The sequence below is a fragment of the Homo sapiens genome, chromosome Y (genome assembly GCF_000001405.40).
Source record: "Homo sapiens chromosome Y, GRCh38.p14 Primary Assembly".
NCBI lineage: Eukaryota > Metazoa > Chordata > Mammalia > Primates > Hominidae > Homo > Homo sapiens.
The window spans coordinates 22,061,841-22,089,073 of NC_000024.10; the positions used below are offsets into that span (position 1 = coordinate 22,061,841).

At 39.8% G+C, this 27,233-nt stretch overlaps 1 long non-coding RNA gene and 2 pseudogenes across 1 annotated transcript; 2 read left to right on the plus strand and 1 right to left on the minus strand.

The window, feature by feature from the left end:
- CDY12P (chromodomain Y-linked 12 pseudogene) lies at nucleotides 2,757-3,965 on the plus strand (annotated as a pseudogene).
- ELOCP15 (elongin C pseudogene 15) lies at nucleotides 6,980-7,311 on the plus strand (annotated as a pseudogene).
- PRY2 (PTPN13 like Y-linked 2) lies at nucleotides 9,866-23,035 on the minus strand. The gene is made up of 3 exons (NR_197360.1): nucleotides 22,931-23,035; nucleotides 20,240-20,355; nucleotides 9,866-10,741 (listed from the first exon to the last, which is right to left on the minus strand). It is a non-coding gene; the product is annotated as a PTPN13 like Y-linked 2 (long non-coding RNA).
- Between the last annotated feature and the right edge of the window lie 4,198 nt (nucleotides 23,036-27,233).

Consider the following 27,233-nt stretch of genomic DNA (forward strand, 5'->3'; position numbering starts at 1 on the left):
TCCACTTCCAGTCATGAACTTGGCTTAGAGTAAAACTCAAGTAAAATCTACTGACCTGTAGAAACCCTAGACAATCACATGGACTTTGTGTTACCCCCATGAGCTCATTGTCTGCAATCGTTTTCCTTCCACAGTCTGCTCCTTCCACAGTCTGCTCCATCCACAGTGACCTGGTCGTTTTTCAAACTGTTTATACAGGCTTCTGCCAGAGATCATCACACTTGTAGATCTTGCTGCATGCTTACATAATTATTCCCTTATTGTTTTATTTAGATATGTACTTGAAAGTCACTTTGGAAACAAATTATTTTATACTTTTTGTTTGTTTTTATTTTTTATTATACTTTAAGTTTTCGGGTACATGTGCACAACGTGCAGGTTTGTTACATATATACATGTTTTACATAAAACCAAGATGTACTACATAAGAGAATATTGCCCCTTGCCCTTTATACTAAATTGATAATATCAATTAATAGAAAGCAAACAACAAACTTCATACCGTAACCACTAAAACAAAAACCTAACAACTGGAAACATAAATTAAAAGTGTAACTTTCAATTTAAGTGTTTTAAACAACATTTTCATGGGACAAAAACATAGATCTCCTAAATAAAAATAAACTCTGAGATTACAAAACAATCAGTGCTTCCCAAATAAAAACGCAGGCAAAACTGCAGGCCTGGCAGCTTTGAACCATTCAAAGAAACATCACACCAATCAAACACTGTCTGAACCCTGTAAATCAATTGTTTGTATCAACCAAGGAATCCATCCAAAGAGACAATTTTAAAGTAGTAAATTTTTTTTAGATTGCCATACTGCCTCCCAGGCACAGATGAAGCCTTCAAAATTGAAATCCACATTTTCCATTTTAAACCCTGGTTCCTAATTCTGGGAGGAGTGAAGAAGCACTTGTGTGTTAATTTATTGTGTTTGTTCTAGTCTTTCTAGAAGATAAATAAACAATTGATGAAACATATTTATTACTGTTTTGCCAAACTCAGAAGTCACTCTTGGTTGAAAATGCCAGGAATTGGTCACAAACAAAATTTTAAGTTGTTGAAAGCAAAGAATACAGTTATTTCCTACAATAGACAATATAACAGATTTGTTAATACAGATCCAGTATTTAAAAAATAATAGTTTATATATCACTCTTATTCATAATGCTAATGGAATGTATTCAATGTATGGTTAACCTTTCTCTAAAAAAAAAAGAAATGCTATTACTATTACAATTCTGGCAAAGTTAGCTATTACTATTACAGCTCTGGTAGGCAGCTATTACATAAAAAATTACAAATTTACTTTAATGGACACTCAGTGTGTGCAGATAAAATCTGAGACAATAATATAAACTGAGAAAGAAAAGTACAAGAGCAGCATATATTTATATTGTTGAAATTAAAATTTAGATTATTCAAATAAGTTAATATTATTCAAAGAAGGCTCTATTAAGTTTAGAATACAATTAAAGTCCCAAATATAATGAATTATAACATAAAAATACAGAAAAAAGTTTTAAAAAGTTAACATTTTTTAATGGACAAAGGAGAAATTGAGGATCCAATAAAATAAAGAACATATAGAAAAAAAGTAAAATGTCAGAGTAATTTTTTACTTGTAATAACTTTAAATGTGAGCTCTTACATAAAAACACACAGACTGGCACAAATGCACCTTTAAAAGAACAATTCACTCGTGATTTCTATGCAAGTCTTACTTTAGGTTCAAAGAAACGAGATTGAAACTAAAATAATACAGTTTCTTGGAAAAGCATGACAACTTATTTTCAAACATAAAAAAAAAAAATTCTGGGCCAGTTCCAGTGGCTCTCAGAAAAAAAAAAATTCTGGAGATGAAAAATAAAACAATTGACATTAAAATTGACTAGAGGCCTGCAATTCCAGCACTTTGGGATGCCAAGGTACAGATCATAAGGTCAAGAAGTTGTGACTATCCAAGCCAACATGATGAAACCCCATCTTTACTAAAAACACACAAATTAGCTGGGTGTGGTGACACGTATCTATAGTTCCAGCTACTCAAGAGACTGAGGCAGGAGAATCAGTTGAACCCGAGAGGCAGAGGTTGCAGTGAGCCAAGATTGTGCACTGTACTCCAGCCTGGTGACAAAGCAAGACTCCATCTCAAAAAAAATTGTATAAATAACTAACTAAATAAGTACTACAGACATTTAAAAGGAGACTTGAGCATACAGAAGAAAATGTCACCAAATCGAATAAAAGGGGCAATTGAAATTATTAAGTCAGGAAGAGAAAAAATAAATAAATAAATGTGAAAACAGTCTAGAAACCAGTGTGACACCATCAAGCAGACCCACTTATCCATTTTGGAAGTTCAAGGAAAAGAAACAAAGAAATAGGGAGACTAAAAAAATGTGGTCAAACCTGTCACAAATTTAAGATAATAAATACCGAAGAAACTGAACAAACTCCAAGTAAAATAAACTCAAAGAGGCACATTCAAACATACATGATAGTTAAACTGTCTAAAATAAAGACAAAGAGAATCTTGAAAGCAGCCAAAGAAATTTTGACCAGTAATGTATGAAAGAACCCCTCATAAATAATCAAGGAATTTCTTATCTGAAAACTCAGGGTAGACTCATATATTCCAAATGCAGTAAGAAAAAAAAATTCAAACAAATGTTATGTTTAAACAAAGTGTCCATCAAAAATGAGGGAGAAATTATGAAATTCCTAAATAAAAGCCACATTCTTTTGCCAGTAGACAACCATTTAATAAATGCCTTATGTATTATTCCAGGGTAAAATGAAAGGACATCGAACAGCAGTACAAATAAACAAAGATTAAGGTAAAGATAAATATCCTGATGCAGAACAGACTGGAGAAGAGAACAGGTGCAAGATACACCCACTAATGTCTCAGGGGTCTGGCTCGGTTACTGCTTCCATGGTTACGGGCTCAGCTAACAAGGAAGGTACACTGGTATTAGCAATTCCATAAACAGCCAATGGAAGAAAAAAACATCCATACATTTGTTCCAAGCATGAGAGGGGGGAAAAGAGAGATTATTGATGATGAAAAAGACCAGCCTTTTATCAAAAGGATGTATTTAACCATAAGGCTAATAGAAAGTGCCAGTAGACTCAGAAACATTTTGGTGAGGGAAAATGATGGCTTTACCCAGAAAGTGCTATCAATGAGATTGACAGAGAACAACTCACTAAATATTGAAGTAATGAAAAAAAATCAAGAATGCTCTGTATAGGGCTGCTGCAGATGACAGGAAGCTTATGCTGCCTAGTGCAGATGGCTGCGTCCCTTGCTGAGGTCTTGATTTTGTTTGCATTTAAGAAATGACAGAAACAGAGAAAGCATTGAAAGAGTGGATACTGTAAAGAACATTGTGAATAGTTTCATTCAGTTTAAGAAGCCTATTGTTGTATCAGCCAATAGCCCAGCCATTTGACTAGATGCATCCATACTTCCTCTTTGTGATTTGGTTTAGGCTAACAAAAAGGCTTGGTTTTAAACTGCTTCTATGACCTTTGGACAGAGTCCAGGTTGCTGTTTTACCATTAAATTTCCCAAGATGATGGGTGAAGCATAGGCCAATGTAATGTTGATTGGTGGGAGAAAGCTGAAAGCATGGGAGGCATGTGCCAGAGACCTGGTCTCTCAGGTGTCTTGGACTGCAACTTTTCCCCCAAGTGGTTATGACTCAAATTAAGGACTTTGCCTCATATAATTCAGTTGTGCTAGAGAAAAGTAATGCCCTTATTTACTGTAAAGTTAAAGATGAAGTTAAAACAGGTCAATGAGAGAGTGTGGTGTGCCGAAAAAAATCTGAGTCTCAGCACAAGGAATAGAATCTGTGTTGATGTTAAGTGTGGGTTTCTGTGTTTCAGCCTTGTTTCTGTTACTAATCTTCAGGTTCTCCATTAAGTGGGTCTTGAATTCTTGATGCATATCCAGGGAGAATTATGTATGTGGAAAACAGGAGAATAATTAGGGTAAATAGATGCTTTATTGAGTGATGGCGCAGCTTTCAGGAGACAGAAAGTGGGTAAGTCCATTTCAAAAACAGGAAATACCTGCATCTCTGCAACACTCAGTGAAGACAGGGCCAAGAGAGACAAGATGAAGAAGCAGGTTGTTAAAACATCACTGAAGGCTTCAGTGGAGAGAAGTTTCAGAGTGGGTAGCGTCTATCTGCAGGAAGGTTGTTGAGATGTATCTGCAGCTTTAAGTTTGGAGAAGACATATCCATTTGCAGCCGTGCAATCCCAAGAAGTGTACAACTCACAGTGAAGAGGTGGCACATTGTTGGTAGATCCACTTTAAGTCAGGTTATTTCAAAGTCTGATGCAGGGCATGGTGGCTTTTGTCTATAATACCAGCAATTCAGGAGACCAAGGCAGATGGATCACTTGCAGTTGAAAGTTTGAGACCAGCCTGACAAACATGGAGAAACCGTGTCTCTAATAAAAATACAAAATTAGTTAGGTGTGATGGTGGATGCCTTTAATCTCAGCTACTCAGGAGCTGAGGTAGGATAATCGCTTCAACCTGGGAGGCGGAGGTTGTGTGAGTTGAGGTCAAACCATACTACTCCAGTCACGTCAACAAGAGTGAAACTCCGTCTCCAATAAATAAATAAACAAACATATATAAACAAACAAACAAATAAACAAATAATCTAAATACGTATGGAATGCATATGAACCTCAGAAGTCAGAAAGAGAGTGCTGATTAGTCGGGTGAAGATGGGTGAAAAAGATGTCTAACCCTAAATATAACCCCTATTACTAACACTAAAACACTAACAATAACCCTCAAGCCCTAACCCTAATCTCCACATAAACCCAACCTGAACCATTAACAAAACATATCCCTATCCATAAATATAACCCTACCGCAACCCATAACCCTAAACATACACCTACACCTACCCCTAACCCTAAATCTACCCCAAACCCTAAATCTACCCTTAAACATAACACTCAGAAAAACACTAACAGAAATACTAAACCAAACCCTAACTCTAACACTACCTCTAAACACTGAACCCTAACCCCTAACTCTAACTCTGACCCCTAAAGCTCCTTCAAACCTAACCCTAAAAGCACCCTTAACTCTAACCTGAAAATTAAAATTCTAACCTTAAAAACATAAGCATAACACATAACCAACATCCCTAATCCAAATTCCTACCCCAACCCTAATTCTAAAAATATGCTGACCATATCCCTAAACTTAATCCTGACACTAACCCTAACCCTAACTCTAACCCACAACCTCAAATGCAACTGCAACCATAGCTCTAACACTAAAACTTAAATGCTAACTATAATCACATATAATAAACCCAATCCCAACTGTAACCCTGAACTCTAACCCTAAAACTAAACCCACCCTAACGCTAACCCTAAAGCTTAACACTAGGCCAAACACTAACCCCTCATCCTAACCCTAAAGTGACCCTAACCCTAACCTAAATGCTAAACAATAACCCTAAAAATAACACTGCACCCTAAACACTAACCCTAATGCTAACCTGAAACCCTAAACCGAATCCTTATTCTTATCCTAACACAAACCCTAAACCCAAACCCTAACGCTAATGCACTAACCCTCTTACCCTAACCCTCACCGTCACCTTAACTCTCACCCTAAGCACTAACTCTAACCCTCACCATGAAGTTAAGCCAGAACCTAACCCTACACTAACAACAACCTCTAACTGTAGGCCTATTTCTTACCCTAAACCTAAACATAACCTGACCCTAAAACTAACATCTAATCTTGATTCTAACTGTAGCCCTAAACATAACACTAAACTTTAACCCTGTCCCTAATCCTAATCCTAATCATAACCCTAATCCTACCACAACACTGACCTCTAACCCAACCCCAGATCTAACCCTCAATCTAAACTTTTTTCTGCAATTGTAAACCCCTATTCCTAATCCCAAACTTCTATCCCATTCTTAATATTATCATATCACCCTTCAAAGAATTTTAAATATATCATCTATGACTCTAACCCCTAATGCCCATAAGAGTACACTTAACCTTACCTCTTAACTCCAATTGAAAATTGAATTAAACAGATGATGTCACTGGGACAAAACACTAAATGTTAACAAATATGATAATTAGAGACATTAGATTATGTAACCAAATAATAGTACATGGAATTAACTACACGAGGAAGACATTATGCACCTATGTGATTACGTTTTTTTTCTAGAAAATTGAGGCTTGTTTTAACATTCTGAAGCCATCCCTCTTCAATATACCATGTAAATTAAATGCTGGGAAAACAGTACATGTATATCTCAACTGTTACAGAAAATACTTAAAGTTAGTCAACATGTTTACTGATAACAACATCCAATAAACTGTGATTAAAATGTCTTTCACATGATAACACGTCTTTATACAAAACCCATAACAATCAGCGTCTGAATTGTTGGGAACAAAAGCTTTAAGATGAAGAACACAGCACTGATGCTCACTTTCATCATTGCATTTGATACTGTATTAGAAGTTCCATCCGAAATAATTGGAAAAGAAAAATATATATGAAGCCATTCATATGTCAAAAAATAAAATAAAACTACCTACTCATGGATCTCATGATCTCATATACAGAAAATCATAAGAAATCAACAAGAAATAATAAAATCTAATAAACAAATTAAACAAACATACAGTATATATATCAATACACTAAAATCTATTTGTATACACTAGCAATAAATGATATGAAAATGAAATTAACACAACAATTTTATTTGTAAAAACAACAAGCTGCATGTTCTCCAACTTCCCTTGAACACACAGGAGCAGGCAGCTGGGGTTGGGGGTGGCCTTGGAGTGGGGTCTGTGCTGCTTTATTGGGACCTGGGCTGCACTGTCCATGGGCTAAGCAGAAACTACTCAAGTTCCTGGGGAGTCAAAGTAGAAATACTTAAGTACATAATGGATGAAGAGTAGAAAATCTACAGTGGTTTTGAAAGCCCTCATGCCACGATGTCAAATGGATATCTTCAGAGTCATAAATTAATGATAAAAAGAGAACATGCATGAACATCAGCAACAGTGAAAGCCAGGGAGAGTGGCCCAGGTCATTTTGCTGAGAAGAAATGCATTGAGTTTAATTTGAGAGACGTCCCTTCACAAGTGCTGCTAAAGGCATACACATATTTTACCTAAATGTTTCACTGCGCCTACAGTTCCACAGAAATTCCTAAATTCCCATTTCACCTGAAACTGCAGTAGAACTGTTGATGGCTGTGAACTTTCTATATTGTATATAAATACAATTGATTTATAGGATAAAATAAATTAGAATAAACTCTTAAATTTTTTTTAGTGTTTAAGGCCTGTGGTTCAGTTCATATTTTTTATAGGTAGCACATTCCCTGTATGCAAGGTAACTATAAAATTAATCGCAGAAATCAAAACCACAATGAGATACCATCTCACACCAGTTAGAATGGCAATCATTGAAAAGTCAGGAAACAACAGGTGCTGGAGAGGATGTGGAGAAATAGGAACACTTTTACACTGTTGGTGGGACTGTAAACTAGTTCAACCATTGTGGAAGTCAGCGTGGCGATTCCTCAGGGATCTAGAACTAGAAATACCATTTGACCCAGCCATCCCATTACTGGGTATATACCCAAAAGACTATAAATCATGCTGCTATAAAGACACATGCACACATATGTTTATTGCGGCATTATTCACAATAGCAAAGACTTGGAACCAACCCAAATATCCAACAATGATAGACTGGATTAAGGAAATGTGGCACATATACACCATGGAATACTATACAGCCATAAGAAATGATGAGTTCATGTCCTTTGTAGGGACATGGATGAAATTGGAAATCATTGTTCTCAGTAAACTATCGCAAGAACAAAAAACCCAACACCGCATATTCTCACTCATAGGTCGGAATTGAACAATGAGATCACATGGACACAGGAAGGGGAACATCACACTCTGGGGACTGTTGTGGGGTGGGGGGAGGGGGGAGGGATAGCACTGGGAGATATATCTAATGCTAGATGATGAGTTAGTGGGTGCAGCGCACCAGCATGGCACATGTATACATATGTAACTAACCTGCACAATGTGCACATGTACCCTAAAACTTAAAGTATAGTAATAAAAGAAAAAAATTAATTGCAAAGAAGATTCTATTCTGTTTTTTTGCATAACAGAGTTGAAATTTATTTGTATTCTGAAAAAACTATGGACATTTTCACAAACAGAGAAATAAACAAATATGCCAATTCATAGGCGGTTTTGCCTTACCCCTTGAATATGACTTTAAAATGAGTAATGTTGACATAGAAAATGATGAAAATTAGACATATATAATTGCATAATATGCATGTTCATAACTTAGCCAAAAGATTGATTTTTATCTAACCCTAACATAAATGTTATATTAATGCCTGTAATCTCAGCACTTTTGGAGGCCAAGGCAGGCAGATAATGTGAGTCCAGGCATTTAAGACAGGTCCAGGCAACATGGCAAGTCTTTGTCTCTCTCAAAAAATACAAAAAGTTAGCCAGATATGATAACTGAAGCTAAGGCAGAAGATCAGTTGAGCTCAGCAGTTAGAGGCTGCAGTGAGCCATCATAGCACTTCTGCACTCCAGGCTGGGAAAAAGAATGAGACCCTGTCTCAAAATAAAAATAAAAGGAGAAGAAGAAGGAAAGGAATAAGAGTTGAAATTTTGTATGTCCTTTGATAAACCTCAGTAATGTTTAATATTGTCTTTTCATTTTGTTTATTGCTACAATTTAAGAAATTTACTTAAAAACACTTTTGGAAGGTTGCTGGGTACAATTTTTGAAGAAGCAACAGAACTATACCCAGATGGTCAACAGGTCAAATATATGACTTACAAGCAAAGCATCCTTGGCAACTTTAAAAACAGAAAGAAAAAAAAATCCATAAGGTTTGATGGGTTAGGTTATTTTCTATGTTTTTAGATTTAAGAAATCCCTTTTTTCTCTTAGATAATTATAATTTATAACACTTTAATAGGTTATACTTTTGTAAACAGAAATGAAACACTTGTTAAAAAAAATTAACTCTCCTGTCCCCCCACCAACCACAGCCATCTGAATGGACCCCTCCTTTTGATCAAGAGCATTCCAAAATTGCTTCACTTCCTGACAAGAAAGAGGGACACACATGCTTCATTACATACTATTCCCTTTTGAACTTTAGAAAAAGTTGACCACCACTAACAGCAACACATACCTTAAATCTGATAAGGAATATTTACCACCTATTTTCTCGAGCCTGCTACATGGAGGCTTCATCATCATAATAAAACTTTGGTCTCTACAGCCCTTATTATTTATTGTAACCCAGTCATTCCTGTCTATTGATTTTATGTTTTTAGATAATAATTTAACTCTTTCAGCCAACTGCCAATTAAAACATATTTATATCTACCTGTAACTTGAAAGCCCAGCCCCACACCATCACTATTTTCAAGTTGTCCATCCTTCCTGGACCAAACCAATGTACATCTTACATGTGTTTGATTGATGTCTCAGGTCTCTCTAAAATGCATAAATGTAGGCTGTGAACATACCACCTGGGGCACATGTTCTCAGGATCTCCTGAGTAGGGATGTGTCATGGACCATTTGTCACTCATATCTGGATCAGAATTCTTCAACTAATTTTATGGCATAATATCAAAGTTTGATATTGTTAGTATATCTCAGCTAATGTAGGATGTCAATATGTATAAAGCAGACATTTACATTACCATTACAAATGCACTCTCAGTTAAACTGTGACTGTCTCAGGAAAAGAAAAAATGTTGCTAACCAGGCATATATCATATATTTAAACTTACATAATAATTCAAGTTCTAATATGCCTACTTAAAAAATGTTTCTATATTGTTTCAACTACTTTAGTTCTCTAAGAAAAATGAGTTATTAAAGCATGAAAAAAAGTGTTGTTGGAGGTTGCGATGTCTCCCCTGGCCTCAGCCCATCGTGGTTCCACTCAGCGCCTCTCCTTTCTCTGTACCAGAATCTCTGCCAGAAACAAGCCCAGATCATCTGCAAACCACACTTTGGTAGCTGTGACAATGCGTGGTCACTGCCTCACTCAAGGGACACTTTTGTAAGGTCAGAATTGGAGGCCAGGGCTGGGAAGTAAGGCCCAGGGCAGTGCCCCTCCTCAGTTCTGGGTGCTGCAGACAGGGTGTCTTTTCCTCACTTGGCCGCCAGATGTCTCAATGCCATGTACTCTCCTGGGAGGGTCCTGAGGAGACGTCTTTATTCTCACCCTGGTCGTAGCACCAGGTGACTTGTAGCAACGGCCACTCCTGGACATGTCCAGAAGAGAAGGAGGTTTTATCCTCATGGTGGACCCGACCCCAGGTGTCCCAAAGCCGCGGCCACTCTTGGGCGGGTCCTGAGATGAAGTAGGCTTAGTCTTCTTCATGAACGTGGCCACAGATGTCCCCAAGTGCCCTGAAACCACGGCCTCTCTCGAGTGTCCTGAGAAGGAAGCTCTGTCCGAGGCACTGTGAAGATAACCTGCTTCTCAGAGAGTTGGTTTGCAGGCTCAGTGCATCAGCTCCGTGCACCCTCTGGTGGTAGCCTTGGAAAATCTCTGAAATTTGGGGTGGGTTAATCCAGGCGGTCATCTCACGAAGTGGAAGTGAGATACAGCCAACCTTCCCATATCTAGAATGGAGATAAAAGGAAGCAAAGAAGACGGTCAATATACAAAACTCAATTGATTTTCTCTATATCAGCAATAATGAATATAAATAATTGGATTTTGAAATATTAAAACACCATTTACAATACTACCCGCAAAATTGAATCCATTAAGTATAACTGTAACAAAATATGCAGAATTCATTCAGAAAACAATGAGTCACCATTGGGAGAAATCAAAGGAAATGTTAGCAAATGCAGACAGGCTAGGCACGTTGTCACACGCCTGTAATCCCAGCACCTCGGGAGTCTGCAGCAGGCAGATACCTTGAGCCCATGAATTGGAGACCACCCTGGGGAACATGGTGAAAGCCCATCTCTGCCCAAAATACAAAAAAAATAAGCTGAGCTTGGTGGTGCATGCCTGTGGTCCCAGCTACTTGGGTCGTTGAAGTGGGAGAATCTGTGAGCTGAGATCATGCCACCGCACACCAACCTGGGTGACACAACTCCTTCTCACAAAGTAAATAAATAGATGTTTCTTGTTCTGGAGAAGCACATTTATTATTATTTCAGCTATATTCCAATCAAATTCCAGGTAAATATATCAACAACTCTTCCTAAACCTAGAATAGATGAAATAAGACTGAAGAAGTGCAATGCCAGATGTGATATGAATACTTACACTAAAGCTAATGTAATAAACAAGAGTGTGTCATTCATGATTTAATAGACAAGCAGATAAGTGGAACAGAATAGTCAGCCCCAAAACAGGCCCAAGTCAAATGATTTTGTCGAAAATGCAAAGAATGTCCTTTGGAAACAATAAGTCTCTTTCACAAGTGGCAAGAAAACAGCTGGAAACTATACGGAAACAAATGAACATAGACACAAATTTTACAGTTAAAAAAATTAGTCAAAAATACCCACACATTAAATTTTTTCAGTGCAAAGTTGTAATTGGAAAATATCTTCATGAGCTTGGGTTTAGTGATGAGTTATTATCAAGTCCATGAAAGAAAAAAAAACGGATAATATGAACTTTATTGAAAGTTGAAATGTCTACTCTGTAAAACACTCTGTTACCATTGGGCATGGCAGTTCAAGCTTGTAATCTCAGCACTTTTGGAGGTCGAAGCGGCCAGATCACCTGAGGACAGGGATTCCAGATCAGCATGGTAAACACGGTGAAACCCCGTCTCTAGGAAAAATTCAAAAATTTAACTGTGAGTTCTGGCGTGCACCTGTAATCCTAGCTGCTCAGGAGTCTGAGCCAGGAGTTTGAATCCCTTGAACTTGGGCGGTGGGGATTGCGGTAAGGCCATATAGGGTCATTGCACCCCAGCCTGGGTGACAAAATGAGACTCCACCTCCAGCTACTCGGGAGGCTGAGGCAGGAGAATGGCGTGAACCCGGGAGGCGGAGCTTGCAATGAGCCAGGATCGCGCCACTGCACTCCAGCCTAGGTGACAGAGTGAGACCCCGTTTCAGAAAAAAAAAAAAAAGAACCAAAGAACCAGCCACAGCCATAGATAGAAAAATTTAGCAAACTTATCTGAAAAGTGACTTGTATGCACAACATATGCAGAAACTCTAAAACTCAAAAAGATAAGCAACCCAATTCCAAGGTAAAAACCTGAGTAGATACATCACTAAGGAAGATACAGAGATGGAAAACAGGCAGACACACCAAACACTGCTTGCGGAAAGCCTGCTGCTTCTGCTGAAGGCTGACTCTAAGCCGTCCCATGGGGAGCAGCAGTGGCTGCCAGAGCGGCAAGTGGCTCCAGAGACCGCCCCCACCTACCCCACCTCCGCTCTTCCTCCAAGGTCCAAGGGTCCTGAAGGCACTAGGCATACTCTCCTAGAAAGAGCCGGAAGCTGGATACTTTATTTCTCGGCTTTCCTTAAAGTTCTGGAAGCTGCCAAGTATCCTTAAGTTGGAAGTTTTATTTTTTTCCTAAGCACCTTGAGGCACTGAGAAGCATTAGGAGAGTTGGTTTTTAACTCACACTTGTCTTCATAAAGAGATAAAAGAATTTGCTCCAACCCCTTTGTATTAAGTTGTTTTAAAATGTTTGGGTCAATATGTTGTTATTTTGCTTTCCTCCAGACACGAAACACAGAAAAAGCATTAAGTAAAAACCGAATAGGGAGTCATCATAAATTCATGGATACTATTTAGTTTTTCATTAAACCTGCCTTTTTTTATTGTAATTTAAATTCTAGGATACATGTGCAGAACAGGCAGTTTTGTTACATAGGTGTACATGTGCCACGGTGGTTTGCTGCACCCATCAACCCATCATGTAAGTTTTAAGCCCTGAATGCATTAGGTATTTGTCCTAATGATCTCCTTCCACTTACCCCCTACTCCCTGACAGGCCCCATTGTGTCCTCATTGTTCCATTCCCACTTATGCATGAGAATAGGTAGTGTTTGCTTTTCTGTTCCTGTGTTAGCTTGCTGAGAATGACGGTTTCCACTTCATTCATGTCTCTGAAAAGGACATGAACTTATTCATTTTTGTGGCTGCATAGTATTCCATCGTGTATATGTGCCACATTTTCTTTATCCAGTCTATAATTGATGGGCATCTGGGTTTGTGCCATGTCTTTTTTGTGTGTAAATAGTGCTGCAATAAGCAGCACTAGCAGCAATAAGCAGTTTCCTTAGAGTAGAATGATTTACAATACTCTGGGTGTATACCACATAATGGGATTGCTGGGTCAAATGGTATTTCTGGTTATAGATCCTTGAGGAATCACCACACTGTCTTCCACAGTGATTGAACTAATTTATACTCCCACCAGCAGCATAGAGCATTCCTTTTTCTCCACATCTTCGCCAGCATCTGTGGTTTCCTGACTTTTTAATGGTCACCATTCTGACCGATGTGAGACAGTATCTCATTGTGGTTTTGATGTGCATTTCTCTAATGCTCAGTGATGCTGAGCTTTTTTTATATATATTTGTTGGCTGATTAAATGTCTTCTTTTGAGAAGTGTCTGTTGATATCCTTTACCACTTTTTGTTGGGGTTTGTTTTTTATTTTCTTATAAAATTTTTTAAGTTCCTTGTAGCTTTTGGATATTAGACCTTTGTCAGATAGATAGGATGAAAAAATGTTTTCACATTCTGTATGTTGCCTGTTCACTCTGACGATATTTTCTTTTGCTGTGGAGAAGCTCCTTAGATTAATTAGGTCCCATTTGTCAATTTCGGATTTTGTTGCAATTGTTTTTTGGTCTTTTTGTCATGAAGTTTTTGCCCATGCCTATATCCTGAATGGTATTGCCTAGATTTTCTTCTAGGGTTTTTAGGGTTTTAGGTTTTACATTTAAGTCTTTTAATTCATCTTGAGTTAAGTTTTGTATGTGATGTAAGAAAGGGATTCAGTTTCAGGTTTCTGCATATGGCTCGCCAGTTTTCCCAGACCAGGGAATCCTTCCCTAGTTGCTTGTTTTTGTCAGGCTTGTCAAAGATCAGATCACTGTAGATGTGTGAATTACTTTAAGCAGTATGGTCATTTTAGGATAGAGCAGGATTTCAATCCCAGCTTTTTTTTTTTTTTTACTTTCCATTTGCTTTGTAAATATTCCTCCATCCTTTTATTTTGAGCCTATGTGTGTCTTCACCCATGATATCAGTCTCCTGAATACAGCACACCAAAGGGTCTTGATTCTATCCAATTTGTCAGTCTGTGCACTTTAATTGGCAAATTTAGTTCACTTACATTTAAGGTTAATATTTGTACGGGTCAATTTGATCCTGGCATGGCAATACTAGCTGGTTATTTTGCATATTAATTGATCCACTTTCTTCATAGTGTTGTTGGTCTTTATATTTTGCTACTTTTTTTAGTGATGAATACTGGTTTTGTTTTGTGTTGTTTTGTTTTCTGAGACAGAGTCTCGCTTTATTGGCCAGTATGGAGTGCAGTGCTGCGATGTCAGCTCACTGCAAGCTCCAACTCCCAGGTTCCTGCCATTCTCCTGCCTCAGCCTCCTGAGTCCAAGTACCTTTGACTACAGGCACCCGCCACCATGCCCAGCTAATTTTTTGTATTTTTAGTAGAAATGGGGTTTCACCATATTAGACAGGATGGCCTTTTACCTTTAGTTAAATAAGTTAGAGTAGAAACAAAGGAATGCGGGGTGTTTACCTAAGTAGCTTGCTTAGTCATGTGGTCCTAAGACTAATATTTGACTTAGCACAGTGCTAAATTGCTTTCTAACTGGGAAGTCCACACTGTCAATTACCCTTTAGTGGTGTTAACTAGAGCCTTGGTCAATTAATCCTTACTGAATAAATGCAAGTCTCACTAGCTGGCTGGGGCCACAGTCAAAACTGTTTGCAATAATTTGCCTGTAGTCTGTAAGCAGCTTGATGTTCAGCTGGACTGGCAAAGCATAATATCTGTGTGCTTTATTCATCCATTTATTCATTGTAGAAATCATGAATTAAAAAAATAACAGGATAAATGCGACAATATGTACTAGCATATTTTTTTCTTTCTTTTTTTTTAGTTTTTACTAAGTAGAGCTTAGAATATGATCGGTTTTCTGTGGCACAGCACATGCCTGCTTCTTTTGGCAGCAATTATAGAATAATGAGAAAACAATAATAACAAAAAGTGCCAGTCTGAAGAGATCATGTATTTTATGATCATATTTCTATGACATTATAGAAATGTCTACAGAGAAGGTAAGCAGACCTGTGATGTACAGTGGTTTGTAGGGGAAAGAGAGTGAGTTGAATAGGGGAATAGGATGTTGGAAAGGGGGTACAAATGGGCCAGTTAGACTTAGACTGCCTCTGGTTCGTGAGGTCATGCTTGGTGTGTGGAAGAGCCAGGAGTGTGTAGTACAAGCATGATAAGAAGGTTTCTACTCAGCCAGATGTGGTGGCTCACCACATCTGCAGTCCCACCACTTTGGGAGGCTGAGTTGGGTGGATCACTAGGTCACGAGGTTGAGACCATCATGGCTAACACGGTGACACCCTACCTCTACTAAAAATACAAAAATTAGCCAGGCATGGTGGTGGGCACCTTTAGTCCCAGCTACTCAGGAGGCTGATGAAGGAGAATGGCATGAATATGGGAGTTGGAGCTTGCAGTGAGCAGAGACCACACCACTGCACACCAACCTAGGCCACAAAGGAAGACTCTGTTTCAAAACAAAAACAAACACAAAACAACAACAGCAACAAAAAACAAAGGCTTCTACTCACTCTAGGAGAGAGAAGGGTCCTCTTCTTTCCACATGGAACTATCTCAGGACTAGTTCTCAGGAAGCCTTTTTGGTATGTGGTAAAAGAAACGTAACATAAATTTACCAATCTAAACATTTGTAGGTGTACAGGTAAGTGGCATTATGTATGTTCATGTTACTGTGCAACCATCACCACCATTTCACATTCTCACCAGCAATGCACAAGGGTTCCATTTTCTCCACATACTCCCCAACTCTCCCTTTTTCAAAAAAAAAAAAAAAGACATTCTAGTGGGTTTAAGGTGATAATCTCATTGTGATTTAGATATCCATTTACCTAATGGCTAATGATGTCGAACATATCTTTCTGCGCTTATTGGCACTGAACTTGTTAATGGTTTCCTGGGTATGACAGAGAATGCACAGAAAACAAAAGAAAAAATAGATAAATTGAACTTCATTAAAACTAAAATCTTTCATGCTTCAAAGGGCACTATCAGGATGGTCAATAGAAAACCAACAGCATAGGACAAAATATTTTCAAGTCATATATAAGGGTAAGGGCCTAGTATCCAGGATATAGGAGAAATTCTTACAACTCAAGAACAAAAAGACAATCAACCCAATTAAAAAAATGATAGAGAAATTGAAAATACTTTTCTCCAAAGATACACACACACACAAAAACACATAAAAATTAGCTCAACATCACTTATTTCAGGGAAATGCAGATCAAAACCACAAGAAGACACCACTTTTCACCCATTGTAATTATTATTATTTAAAAACCATGAACGAACAAGGGTTGACGTGGAAGTGGAGAAAAACAAAAGTAAAATAGTTCATCTGCTGTGGAAAATAGTTTGGTGTTTCTGCAAAAAGCTAAACATGGAACCATCATAGAAACCAGCAAATCCCCCCCACCTCAGGTATATACACAAAAAATATAAAGCAGGTATTCAAACAAAACTGTGTGTGCACATATACTCATGGAAGAATTATTCACAATAACTAAAATGTGGAAACAAACCAAATGTCCACAAACAAATAATAGGAAAACAAAATGTAGTATACCTATACAATGGCATAATATCTAGCCATAAAAAGATTGAGACACTCATACTACAATGTGAAGATACTGCAAAACCATTGTGTTTAAAGAAGCTAAGCACAAAAGTCACATAGTGTATGATTTTATGTATATAAATGTCCAGAATAAGTAATTTCATAGAGAAAGAAAGCAGATTTGCTAATTGTCAGGGGTCAGAAAGAGGACAGATTGGGTAGTAGTTCCTTAATAGGTAGGGGATTTACTTCAGTAAAAAATATCCTATCCCCAGTATTCCAACAGCAGGCTGAGCTCTCATTCCATGGTGTCCCCTTAACCTGGGGTTCAAGTCCCCCCACAGTCCGGAAGTGCCTGGGGCCTGAGCAGGCACATTCTGGACACATACTCCAGCCATTGTGTCCACCAGCTCCTAGACCTGTTACCAGTGAAAAGTATCTGAGTTACTGGCAGCAAATCCGTCCGGGTCTTTAGCAATATCAATTCTTGCCTCCTCAGGTGAAAGAATTCAACTGGTGGGCATAAAGAAGGAAGAAGGAAGAAAATGCCATGGCAAGTTTCACAGCAGGAGTGGACGTTTATTAAAAAGCTTTAGAGCAGGAAAGAATGAAAATTGCACTCGAAAGAGATCCAAATGGGTGACTTGAAGAAGTGTGGCCATTAACCTTCCTTCTGGGACATTTTAGGCTGGCCTACCGCCAGCATCTGGTGCACCCTTTCCCATGATTCTTCCCCTAGCATGGGCTGCCCACAGGCACAGTGCCCTCGTTACCCTTGGGAAGTAAGTATAGACAGTGTGTTTAAGCAGTTATATGTATGCCCATCTGAGGCTTCCTCCCTTTTATTGGTGGGGTGACCCCAGAAAGTCATACTCCACCATTTTGTCTCTTAATGTGCACTCCTGGGTTCAGTCATCCAATGTCTGAGATTTTATGGGACGCCCTTTTTCCTCCTCTCTGGCATGTGAGTTTAATTAACACTTTAATGTTACCAGCTGTGTATCAGGCTATCCCTGGCCCCAGCCGCTAAATTATTATTTTTAGAGAAGCAATATGATAACTGTCCAACCATCACCCGATGGCCTGACATTCCTGGTATGCGGATGTGGAGAACCCGCTCTTGCCCCACTCATGACTGTTTAACCAACTGTAACAAACCCACGGGCCAATTTCACTTCCAGGTCAGTTTTTCTCTGCTGCCTTTCCGGACACCCAGTGATCAGTGATGCCTCCTCAGGGTTTACAAGGTCTTCAGTATCATGCTCTATTTTGATCCAGACCTCAGCACATAATATCCATGGGTTGTTCCATTTCAATAAAGGGAAATTAACATTTTCTGATCACAAGTGCATGCAGGTGTCTTACTCAGGTGAACTCACAGCAACTCTGCAAAGTATGGGTAGTCCCACATGTAGAGAAAAATGCCAGGATCCAGTGACTGAGTGACTCACTTTCAATCACACAGCTTCCAAGTAACTTCATACTCACATTCCAGCCCATGGCCTGGTCTCCAGTTGTCATTTAGAAAAGGTTTGCGAGTACTTGAACATATGCCCAGGCCACACCCAGACTTATTTGTAACAACAAAGATGAGCTCCAGGGACAATGGTTGACAAGACCCACCCAGTCATCTTTCTTCCATTCAGAGCCATTGTAGTACTCGATACTCATCAGAAACAGTCTCTTATCCCAAAGCCCTCTCATACATAGGGTGTATCAATGGGAATGGGTCACACATGGGGCACAAAGGGCAAATTTAGTGAGGGAATCAGAGCCAGCACATAAAGAAGGAGCTGGTGATTCCAAGTGTAAAGAAAGGCGGTATGCTAAGAAGTTATTGCCCTGGAGGGTGAAGGATACAAGAGGTTTGTATGACTAAATCAGAGGGAGCAAGAGAGAAAGCAGGCAATGGACCAAACACTTAGCACAAGGGACAGTGATTCCTTAACAAGGTCGATGCAGACCTACCATGACATGATGTGGCCACTGCACTCCTAGGAATGAACCATGAGAAATGAAGGCAAGCTCACAGGCTACATACATAAATAAATATTCATGACATCCTTACACATAATGGTCCCAAACCAGGAGCCCAAATGCCCATACACAGAAGAAGGGTGAACAAGCTGTGGCACATCTATACAATGGCATGTGGCTCAGCATGAAAAGGAATGGACTGTTGATGCACTCAGAACAGAGTGACTCTGAAAGTAGTTCTGCTGAATAAAAGAAGCCAGATCAGAACGACGCACAAAGACCCAAGTACATACTGTATTTACCTGTAATTCTATAAAATACCCACAAGTTTTTAGTGAAAGAAGCAGATCTGTGGTCCTAGGGTGGCCAGGGAGTGATCGTTATTGATGGGAGGAAGATGTGTTTTCATGACCTTCATCACACTTCTGGCCTTGCGGTGAATGAAATACTCACATGGAGAAACCATCAGTTCTTCCATCTACACAGGTGCAGTTTACCATATGCCAATCACATGCCAACAAAGCTGTTTTTAAATAAGCAATCATGATCCAGAGCAAGGAATAAGGTTGGGCAGGAGACCTGATGAGGCAGATTGTTTTCTTTTCCTAATCTATAAGGCTGCACACTGAAATTAAGTTGGCCCTGAGCTCAGACACTGAACAGGCCTTTGGGAAAGGCTCACACAGTCCTTCCTCCTGAACAGAAGAGTGACCACCTAACACAATACCCAGCTGCCCCTCAGGAACTTTATATGTCAATGTGACCTTCCCATCCTTGTGTCTGTTTTCTGCAATTTCCTCTTTCAGGCAGAAGCCAATGTGGCCTCTGATGTAGAGGAAATAATGTTAAAGTTCTAATATGGACATTCTGGTTCCATCATAGTAGAGAAACGGGTTGCATCTTCTCTCTTCACGACAAAGAGAAGGGAAAAGCCATGAGAACAATGTCCACAGTTGTGTGATCAGGTTGCAAGTGGAGGAAGAACATCGCCATGCCAAGGAAGCAGCAGGGCAACTGAAGGTGAAGGTTTCTGCAGAGGAAAGAAGGAAGCTTAGGGATTCCCAGAGGAAATCATCCTTCCCATTTGTAGGCCCCTGGTTTGAAGGCCAGTTCCTCTTGTCCCAATGTGAAATGAGCGTGTGACAATCCCCATTTCAGCCTTAATGCTAATTACAGAGGCAAACGTGAGAGACCAACAGTTTTTAAAAAATGCAAACAAACAAAAAAAACAAACAAAGGCAAATATGATCAACAGACAACTCACCTCCAGAGAAATGAGTCTTTAAGATCCTTCTTCCTTCTGGCCTCAAGACCTCTGTTCAAGGAAAGTTCAGAACACATGCTCCCCGTAGTCTCAGAGAAGTATAAAATATTGCATCCCTGAAAAATAACAAAATTTAGGAAGATAATAGGAAAATTCAGAGATTAGGAACAACAGCTTGAAATTCTCTTAAAATGTGTAACTCTCAAAAATTGGAAGACAGAATCTAAAAAATATTTCAAAACCACATACAATTAACAAAATAAACCTAAGAAAAGTGGTTAGCTCTCTGGGAGATTTGTCCCATAGTTGCAGTAGCGAAATAGCATTTGACATGTAAAAACCCAGGGAGGCAGTTATAAAAGCTCTGGGAATGACAGCTCCACCCCAGGCCTAGAGAGATGTTGGTGGGATAGGAACAGGAAAACGGAAGGTGTCCACCAGTGATTTTTCAGGTGGGAGGTTAGAAATGAGGGAAGATGATAAGGATGTGATAAAAGGAGATTTAATTTGAATTTTAATTTAGTTCCAACTTAATTTAATTTAATTTTAAATTTAATTTAATTTTAATTTAATTTAATTTTAAATAGAAAGAAAGAAGAAAAGGCAATTAGAAACTCCAAGAAAAGAGAAAGCTAAAGAAAAAATATGTATATACCTATAGAATACCAAGAAATGTAGGTGAATTCAAAGTGCCAATATACTTCCTACAAGAAGAAAGTCACAAGATTCTATTGCATTGGATTGAAAAAATATATACATAAATATACATATACTCTACAGTTACTTTCAACATCAATGATAACTAAGAAAGAAACTAAAATCATGATATTTCTATCATTGGGTGAGGGTGGAGGAAAGGTCAGAAGTCTAAGAAACTCAGCCTTCCTCTGTTGTACCAGGTGTTAACAGGTAATTCAGGGGACTAGGGTTAGGTGCACATGGTGGCAGTTCCTTCTGAGTTACCCTTGCCTCATCTCTGTATTTTTCAGTCATGTGCATATATTTTTATTTTCAAAATAAAATATATGGGAAGTAATTTGTGGTGTCAGAGACTCTAGGAAGATTCTCTGTTCCAGGGTACGGGTTCCACATCTAATTAAACACCACAGATTCCAGCAGAAAATCCTAGCTCTACCCACACTTCCACTCCCTCAAACAAGACTCAAGTAATCACCACATCCAGCTCAAAAACTCAAGATCTGTCCAAAGCAGATCCACGTGTAGCCATCAGCAAGGGTATCAATAGACACAGCCACAGAGGTGTCTGCAGTGCATCATGAAGTCCAGCCGCTAGCAGTAGACCAACTGCACAGTCTGGAAGGAAATTTTCTTGGAGGATGCCAATGCTAGAGGAACCAGCCATGATGCAGGTGCAGCCATAGAGGGGTCCATCATGTTACTGCAAGCAGCCAGAGGGCAGAGGTAATGAGCAGGAAAGATGAGGGGGAGGGTGGCGACATCATGGTTGGGCCCCTACTGGTACATGTTGCCACCCTGCAGTGGCCTGTGGGAAACAGAGAACACCGTATTTTGGTGGGCAGAGGCTCTCTCAGGCCAGAGCAGTAGGACCTGGAAAGAAACTGAAGCCAAGCTCAGGAATGTGGGTTCCTGTTTCAATTTGGCTACTGGTGGCTGTGGACCCCAGGATATAACAAATTACATGCCTTTACCGTTTTCCCTGTGGCTGCAAAGACTTGGGTCAGGCTCTGAATTACCTGGCCCCCTTGAGGCGCTTAATAAAGCTTATTACTGGAAACTGATAATATATTAGCACTTTATTTACAATGACCTTCAATGAAGTGTTGTTCTCCAGTATTGAAAATAGGAAAACAATTATCAAGAGCTTAATAGTTATGGGATTAAATGATGGTTGATCCTCAAGAACTATTAGGCAGCACTTGATAATAAAGCATTGGTATTTCATGAATGCTCACTGTGTCTCAATTGTACTCTTAGGCTTTTGACAACCAGCCTGACTTAAGCTTTGCAAAAATCCCCATGGCAGATCCTGGCACCATCTCTATTTTACAGGTGAAAGGTCACATGAACCTGCTTAGGGACACATACCTGGGCAGGGCAGGATCTAAATGGAAGCAGGCCCAAGAGGTGTCAAGAAAGATGCTAATATCCTAATGGTATGTGGAAAGGAGGAGCAAATGTGCACATGGTGTGAAGGCCAGACAAGATTTAGGACAGCCCTAAATGTAGAACAGATCCACAGCAGGCCAGCCTCCAGTTTTCTTATTCTTAAATGATCCTCCTCATCAAGTAAAGATCACAGAGTGCAGGGAGGCTGCTCAAAAAAGTACTGATATGTAGCAGAAACATGAGAAAAGCAAAAGAAACAAAATACTAAAAATAAACACACCACAATGACAGCTGAGTTTGTCTTTAGGTGGCCGGCCTACAAGTGTCTTTTTCTAAGTCTGTTTTCACCATTCTCCAAAATAGACATAAATTTAGGTAATGTGTCCAGCTGCAGGAACAAGTGTTGGGTCAGAGGAAACTGCTTCCCAAACCTGGCCCCTGACCCAGGCTCCTTGCTGGCAGCTTCCCCTTCCCTGTGGTCTGTCCTGATCCCAGTGACAGGGCACTATCATCCCTACACATATTCCATGTCCTAGTCCCCACTAAAATGTAGAGGGGTACTGAACAGGTGAGATGTTCTCATGGCCCATATGATGACAGTACCTGGCAGTCAGTGCCATTCAAATTGTCTTGTCTCCAGGAAAGTAGAAAGCCAAGCCCAGTGGCTCCCATTGTCCTTGAGTGGTCTCTTGGGATTGTTGAGGCCCATTTTATTCATGTCTCTCTAAAAGAGATAAGATGGGAGAAGAGGTTTTGTGGGACTCTGAGGTACATCCTTCTTCCCAGCAGGTAAAGCAAGCCTGCTGGCTGGAAAATGCTGTTACCACAGGGGCACCCCAATATTCTTTGTTCATCTCTGGCCCTATCTTTGGTCTAAACCAACAACCCATAATTACTAACTGTGGGAAACAAAGTTTCTGGGGTGCCAATTAAGTTGGTCTCCCCTGTATGAGACACCCATGGGGAGCCATGGGCAGCCTCTGAGAAGAAAAATCTCCTTATTACCTTCATGTATTTATGCCCCCAGAGCATAACCACTCAGCGGCATTCCACTGGTTGCTCAGGAAGATAACGTTCCCTTGAAGCAGTGGAATATAATAAAACATCTTGGCTCCTCCTGAAACCCACTCCCACCCATTTCAGTCATGATAAGTTGAAGATCTTAAGTAGTTTAGACACATGCCTTTGCTCAAGGAAATTCACAGAAACCACCAGTGCTATACATCTTATTGAATGGCTGATGAGTTCTCCTTCACTGCTTAATCCTTTTCCTTATTCCTTCCTCCCCCTCCCATCTCCTTAAGGACAAAGAATTTGTAAACCAATAAATTGGGTGGAGCCTGAGAGCTCCAGGCCATGAGCAAGTCTCCAATGCTCTGGTGCCCTGGACCTACCTTTTAAGTGCTTATTCTGTCTCTTTCTAACACCTTTGTCTCCTCCAGATTCGGGGTACCCACTGGGTCTTATGTGGCTGGTTTCCCCAACACTAACCTGGGACATTCCAAATCTTGGTGCTTGTGTTGTCTCTCAAATCAACTCACCAAGCCCTCCTCAGAAAACGCAATGCCCTTTTCTGCAGCCAAAGACCTCATTATGCCACACAGTGACCTTGAAATGCAGAGGGGCAGCCACAACCCCACTTGGGCCTGTTCTGAACCTGAGATCTCTGGTTTCAGTGATCTCACAGCCAGTTGATTGAAAGGGACAGGGAAGTGTGTGGAGGAAGCACTCTCCACACCACTGCACTGCAGCCTGGACAACAGAATGAGACCCCATCTCAAAAAAAAAAAAAAAAAAAAACCTTTAAAAATGCATCCTATTTTTTTCTGAGGGTGTTCCAAGATGGCCAAATAGGAACAGCTCCAGTCTGCAGCTCCCAGCATGATCAATGCAGAAGATCAGTGATTTCTGCATTTCCCACTGAGGTATCTGGTTCATCTCATTGGGAATGGCAGGGCAGTGGGTGCAGCCCACAGTGAATGAGCTGAAGCAGGGCAGGGCATCACCCCTCCTGTGAAGTGCAAGCAGTCGGGGAATTTCCCTTTCCTAGCCAAGGGAAGCTGTGACAGACTACCTGGAAAAACGGAGCACTCCTGCCCAAATACTGCACTTTACCCAAGGTCTTAGCATCCAGCAGACAAAGTAATTCTCTCCCATGCCTAGCTTGGTGGGTCCCATGCCTGGCTTGGTGGGTCCCATGCCCACAGAGCCTTGCTCACTGCTAGCGCAGCAGTCTGAGATCAAGCTCTGATGTGGCAGCCTGGCTGGTAGAAAGGCGTTCACAATTGCTAAGTCTTGAGCAGGTAAACAAAGCACCCAGGAAGCTAAAACTGGGTGGAGCCCACCACAGCTCAACAAGGCCTACTGCCTGTAGACTACACCTCTGTGGGCAGGGCACAGTTGAACTAAAGGCAGCAGACAACTTTGGCAGACTTAAATGTCCCTGTCTGACAGCTCTGAAGAGAGCAGTGGTTCTCCTAGCATGCCATTTGAAGTCTGAGAATGGACAGGCTGCCTCCTCTCATCTGTCCCTGACCCCTGTGTAACCTATCTGGGAGACAGCTCCCAGTAGGGGCTGACAGACACCTCATATAGGCAGCTGCCCCTCTGGGATGAAGTTTCCAGAGGAAGGATCAGGCAGCAATATTTGCTGTTCTGAAATATTTGCTGTTCTGCATCCTCTGCTGGTGACACCCAGGCAAACACAATCTGCAGTGGACTACACCAAATCCCAAAAGTCCTGCAGCTGAGGGACCTAAGTGTTAGAAGGAAAACTAACAAATAGAAAGGAAGAGCATCAACATAAGCAAAAAGTTCATCTACACCAAAACTCCATCTGTAGGTCAACAACATCAAAGACACAAGGTAGATAAAACCACAAAGATGGAGAGAAACTACAGCAGAAAAGCTGAAAGTTTTAAAAATTGAGTGCTTCTTCTGCAATGGATCACAATTCCTCACAAGCAATGCAACAAAACTGGACAGAGAATGAATCTGATGAGCTGACAGAAGTAGGCTTCAGGAGGTTGGTAATAACAAAACTATTTGAGCTAAAGTTTCATGTTCCAATCTATCACAAGGAAGCTAAAAACCTTGGAAAAAGATGAGATGAATGGCTAACTAGAATAAATAGTGTAGAGAGGATTTTAAATGACCTGACGGAGCTGAAAACTGTGGCACAAGAACTTTGTCATGCATGCACAAGCTTCAGTAGCTGATTCAATCAAGTGGAAGAAAGGGTATCAGTGATTGAAGATCTCATTAATAAAATAAACTGAGAAGACAAGGTTAGAGAAAAAAGAGTAAAAAGAAACAAAATCTCTGAGAAATATGGGACTAAGTGAAAAGACCAAATCTAAGTTTAATTGGTGTATCTGAAAGTGATGGAAAGAATGGAACCAACTTAGAAAACACTCTTCAGGATATTATCCAGGAGAACTTCCCCAACCTAACAAGGCAGGCCAACATTCAAATTCAGGAAATACAGAGAATGCCACAAAGATACTCCTTGAGAAAAGCAACCACAAGACATACAATTGTCAGGTTCACCAAGGTTGACATGATGGAAAAAGTGTTAAGGTCAGACAGAGAGAAAGGTTGAGTTACCCACAAAGGGAAGCCCATCAGACTAACATTGGATCTCTTAGCAGAAACCCTACAAGCCAGAAGAGAGTGGGGGCGAATATTCAACATTCTTAAAGAAAAGAATTTTCAGCACAGAATTTCATATCCAGCCAAACTAAGCTTTATAAGTGAAGCAGAAATAAAATCCTTTAAAAATAAGGAAATTCTGAGAGATTCTGTCACGACCAGGCCTGCCTTACAAGAGTTCCTGAAGGAAACACTAAACATGGAAAAAAACAACCAGTATCAGCAACTGCAAAAGCAAATTTTAAAGACCATCGATGCTATCAAGAGACTGTATCAATTAACAGGCAAACTACACAGCCAACGTCATAATGACAGGACCAAATTTACACATAACAATATTAACCTTAAGTGTAAAGAGGCTACATGCCCCAGTTCAAAGACACAGATGGGTAAATTGGATAAAGAGTCAAGATCCATCAGTGTGCTGTATTCAGGAGACCCATCTCACATGCAAAGATGCACATAAGCTCACAATAAATGAATGGAAGAAGATATACCAAGCAAATGGAAAGCAGAAAAAAATATAAGTAGGAGTTGCAATCCTAGCCTCTGATAAAACAGACTTTTAACGAACAAAGATCAAAAGAGACAAAGAAGGCCATTACCTAATGATAAAGGGATCAATTCATGAAGAAGAGCTAAGAATTCTAAATATATATTCACCCAATACACAACCCAGATTCAGAAAGTAAGTCCTTAGAGACCTACAAAGAGACTTAGACACCCACACAATAATAATGGGAGACTTCAACACCCCACAGTCAATGTTGTCTCATTAATCAACAGATCAATGAGACAGAAGGTTAACAAGGATATCCAGCACTTAAACTCAGCTCTGTAACAAACTGGCCTAATAGACACCTACAGAACTCTCCACCCTAAATCAAGAGCATATACATTCTTCTCAGCACCACATCACACTTATTCTAAAATTGACCACATAACCTGAAGTAAAGCACTCCTCAGCAATTGTAAAAGAACAGAAATCACAACAAAGTGTCTCTCAGACCACAGTGTAATCAAATTAGAACTCAGCATTAAGAAACTCACTCAAAACTGCACAACTACAGGGGAACTTAACAACTTGCTCCTGAATGATTGCTGGGTAAATAACAAAATGAAGGCAGATATACAGACATTCCTTGAAACCAATGAGAACAAAGACACAACATGCCACAATCTCTGAAACACATTTAAAGCAGTGGGCAGAGGGAAATGTATAGCAGTAAATGTCACAAAAGATAGCAGGAAAGAT